The sequence below is a fragment of the Homo sapiens genome, chromosome 8, assembly GCF_000001405.40.
Source record: "Homo sapiens chromosome 8, GRCh38.p14 Primary Assembly".
Classification (NCBI taxonomy): Eukaryota; Metazoa; Chordata; class Mammalia; order Primates; family Hominidae; genus Homo; species Homo sapiens.
In genome coordinates, this window is record NC_000008.11 from 124457422 (window position 1) to 124462492 (window position 5071).

Consider the following 5071-nt stretch of genomic DNA (forward strand, 5'->3'; position numbering starts at 1 on the left):
TGGCTTATGCCTGTGATCCCAGCACTTTGGGAGGCTGTGGCAGGTGGATCACCTGAGGTCAGGAGTTTGAGACTAGCCTGTCCAACATGGCAAAACCCTGTCTCTACTAGAAATACAAAAATAAGCCAGGTGTGGTGGTGGGCTTCTATAATTCCAGCTACTTGGGAGGCTGAGGCAGGAGAATCTCTTGAACTCAGGAAGTGGAGGTTGCAGTAAGCCGAGATTGTGCCACTGCACTCCAGCCTGGGCAACAGAGCAAGACTCTGTCTCAAAAACAGAAAAACCATACACGAACAGAAATTAAAAATAGTAAGAAACAAATAGAATTTAAATTTCATTTTCTCCTACCCTGGGCATACATGTGACAAAATCCAATATATATCACTCTGAACAGCCTCAGGGTACAGCCACTTTATATTGCACAAGCTGTAAAAGTAGTCATTTTCAAACTCAACTATTATTTAAAATGATTACAAGCATTTAAAATGTTTAAAATAAAGATCCAACCCTGTTCACTTGGGAAACAGTTGTGGCAGTTCCTTAAAGTGTTGAACATAGGGTTAGCATATTACCCAGCAGTGAATTAACCAAATAAATAAGACATATGTGATAGAGGTATATATACCCAAGAGAATGCAAACATATGTCCACACAAAGGCTTGTGCGTGAATATTTGTAGCAGCATTATTCATAGACAAAATGTGGAAACAACCCAAAGTCCATCAACTGATGAGTGGTTAAACAAAATGTCATATATATACAATGGAATCTGTAAAAAGGAATGCAGTACTGATACATGGTTTCTGGATGAACCTTGAAAACATTATGCTGAGTGAAAGAATCCAGTTGCAAAAGGTCATTTATTGTATGGTCCCATTTATATGAAATGGCCAGAATAGGCAAATCTATAGAAACAGAAAGTAAGTTCCCAGGTGCTGGGGGGAGTGGAGAATGGAGAATGACTGCTAATAGGTACTGGGTTGATTTTGTGGGAAGATGAAAATGTTCTGAAAATAGATGGTGGTGATGATTGCACAACTCTATAATATATGAACCAGCCATTTAATTGTATATTTTTAAAGGGTGAATTTCCCTACTTGCTTCAGCAACATATATACTAAAAGGGTGAATTTTATAGTATGTGAATTATATCTCAATAAAGCTGTTAAAAAAAAAAAAGCAAAGAACTTGGAAACACTTCCTACAGGAAGGAACACCAGAGCTGCATTTTATTATTTTTAGGGTCTTGCTTTGTTGCCCAGGCTGGAATGCAGTGGCGCAATCAAGGTTCACTGCAGGCTGGGTGCAGTGGCTCACACCTGTAATCCCAGCTCACGCCTGTAAACTTTGGGAGGCTGAGGTGGGCAAATCACACCTGAGGTCAGCAGTTTGAGACCAGCCTGGCCAACATGGTGAAATCCTGTCTCTAATAAAAGTACAAAAATTGGCCAGGTGCGGTGGCTCATGCCTGTAATCCCAGCACTTTGGGAGGCTGAGGCGGGTGGATCATAAGGTCAGGAGTTCCAGACCAGCCTGGCCAAGATGGTGAAACCCCATCTCTACTAAAAATACAAAACTTAGCCAGGGGTGGTGGTGGGCACCTGTAGTCCCAGCTACTCGGGAGGCTGCGGCAAGAGAATCGCTTGAACCCAGGAGGCAGAGATTGCAGTGAGCCAGTATCACACCACTGCACTCCAGCCTGGGTGACAGAGCAAGACTCCGTCCCCCAAAAAAAAAAAACATACGAAAATTAGTGAGACATGGTGGCAAACACCTGTAATCCCAGCTACTCAGGAGGCTGAGGCAGGAGAATCGCTTGAACCCGGGAGGCGGAGGTTGCAGTAAGCGGAGATCACACCACTGCATTGTAGCCTGGGTGACAGAGTGAGACTCTGTCCCCCACCAAACAAACAAACAAACAAACAAAAGACTTACTTGCAGCTTTGACCTCCTGAACTGCAATCCTCCTGCCCCAGCCTCCTGAGTAGCAACCTCCCACACACCCACCCCCCCAAGTTCAAGTGATTCTCCTGCCTCACCCTCCCGAGTAGCTGGGATTACAGGTGTGCACCACCATGCCTAGCCAATTTTTGTTTTTAGTGGAGACAGGGTTTCACCATGTTGGCCAGGCTGGTCTTGAACTCCTGACCTCAAGAGATCCACCCACCTCAGCCTCCCAAAGTGCTGGGAATACAGGTGTGAGCCACTGTGCCCACCCATAATTTTTAATTTTTTTTATAGATAGAGGGTCTCACTATGTTGCCCAGGCTGGTCTCGAACTCTAGGGCTCAAGTGATCCTCTAACCTCAGCCTCCCAAAGTGCTGGGATCACAGGCATGAGCCATGGTGCCTGTCCTAGAGCTGAATTTTGAATAGAATCAACTATGTAAAGGCAGAGGAAGTGAGGGCCCCTTAACCTCTTCTCCAAGATAAGCTATTTGTCTCATTGAAACTTTCTTTTGAATCTTACAGTTACCATTGTGTGTTTCCTATAGGCCCTTCTCCAGATTCTCCAAGTTGTTCCCAAGAACCTTTTCACTGGGGCCCAGAATTGACTCACAGTATCCATCCCAATTCCCCTTTCTCTTAAAAAGGAGAAGCTGGAAAACTCAAGTACTAAATTTCCCAGCCTCTCTTGCACAGATAGTGACCATGTGAACCAGTTCTGGCAAGGAGCTGCAGGCAGAGGTCCCCGGGGAGGGCTTTGGGTCTCTGACCCTGGAGATGTAGCAGCCATCTCTCCAAGCATGCTAAGACTGGCAGAGCAGCATTGTAGGACTGATTTCTTAAGGGGATCTTTGATCAGCTACACAGCCCTGAAATGTCTATCTCTGCACTTGTCATGTGAAAAAATAAAAAAATAAAATAACCTGCAATCCCACCCCCAAGTCTATTTAAGTCACTGTGCGAATTTTTTTTTAACTTACAGGCAAGAAATATTTCTACCTGATATTCTGAGTACTAGATTAACCAAATAAATTAGACATATATAATAGAAGTGAGTAAATAAAAACTGAGTGGGAATGCTCACAGAGCTCATACCACCCAAAACAGGGCATCTTGAAATCAGTTCTTTTTTTCAGGTGTTTCATCGGTTAATGCTTCCATCCAGTGAAATAAAAACTTCATTCAGCCTTGAAATTAATTTATCCATGACTCCAAGGACTGCGTTTGGTCTTTTTTTTTTTTTTTTAATCAAAGTGATAGATACTCAATAATGGGATTCGTTCCCTGAACAGGAATCTAACTCAGGCTGTAGCCATAAAAGCACAGAAGCTTAGTTACTAGACCACAGGCTGGAGTGTTGTTTTGTCTCTTTTCCCTTCTGTCTCTTCTTGCCCTTTCATAAATGTTTTTGGGCCCCAATCATGTGCCAGACACTGTGGCAACCACTGGGAGTAAAATAGCCAACAAAACAAGACTCAATCCCAGACTCCATGGACCTTATACTCTAATGAGAGGGATAGGCATTTATCCAATAATCACACACCACATACAACATTTCATGTAACAACTTGCATTCTAGTAAATGCTGTGAGGAGAGGTTCTCGGGGTGCAATTGGAACCTATGACGGGTTGGCCTGGTCAGAAAGGTCAGGGCAGTCTTCCCTGAGAATTTGATGACTTAGCTGCGAGCTGAATGGTGAGTAGGAATTAATGAGTGGCTAAAATGGGGAACAGCTTTCCAGGCTCTGACAGTGTGTGCAAGTGCCATGTGGAGGAATTTGAGGGGCCAAAATGAAGGGTAGGGTGGATGGAGAGGAAAGAGTAAGGGGTGAAGGAATGTTAATTAGGCTGCAGAGTTAAGTGATGGTCAGATCAGGCAGGGGGCAATGTAGGCTATATTAAGAACACCATCCCAGCAGCAATGGGATGTCATTGAAGGGTCTAAGCAAAAATGTGACATGGTTAAATATGTGATGTCTTGCAAATTCAGTTTATCAAAATCCTAGTATTCTAAAACATTTAAAAATATACTCAACACATACACTAACCCCTAATATTCCTTCATCTGCCCACCCTCATTTCCAACAACTGTGGTGACATGGGATTGTACAAGGAGTTGGCTTTGTATACATAATTCATAGTCAATAAATTTTTCGTTTACGTTCATGGGAAAAATGCTGGCTCATAGAATTAGTTGACTCAGTTGGGATGCATTCTTCCATTTTCTGGAAAAGTTTATGTACAATTATTATTACTTCCTTAATGTTTGTTAGAAATCCCCAATGAAGCTATTTGGACCTGGATTTTTTTCTTTATGGGAAGATTTGTAACTACAAATTCAGTTTCTCTGAAAGAGTTTTTTAGGGTATCTATTTCTTGGCTGAGCTTTAGTAGTTTGCATCTTCAAGGAATTTTTCTGTTTTATCTAATTTGCCAAATATACTGATACAAAGTGTTCAAAATGTTCCTTTTAACAACTGTAAAATCTGTAGTGTTATCACCTCTCATTACTGATACTGATAATTTGTCCTCTCTTTTCCTGATCAGTCGGCCTAGAGCTTTATCAAACTTAGCTTCTCAAAGAATTAGCTTTTGGTTTCATTGATTTTTCTCTATTGTATTTCTACTTTTTCTTTCTTTCTTTTTTTTCTTTTTGAGATGGAGTCTTGTTCTGGCGCCCAGGCTGGAGTACAGTGGCGCGATCTCAGCTCACTGCAACCTCCGCTTCCTGGGTTCAAGTGATTCTCCTGCCTCAGCCTCCCGAGTAGCTGGAATTACAGGTACCCACCCCCAAGCCCAGCTAATTTTTTGTATTTTTAGTAGAGACGGGGTTTCACCATCTTGGCTAGGCTGGTCTTGAACTCCTGACCTCGTGATCCACTCTCCTCTGCCTCCCAGAGTGCTGGGATTACAGCCATGAGCCACCGTGCCCGGCCCACCTTTTGATTTCTGCTCTATTTCTTTTTTTTCTACTTACTTTGGACTAGACCACCACCATTTTTTGCTCCCCACTCTTCTCCTTCAAGGACTGCAATTATACACATGCATTTGGCTGCCTGAAGTTGTCCCACCCTTTACTGATGCTCTATTTATTTTGGTAGGAGGTGTGTGTCTCATTTTATTC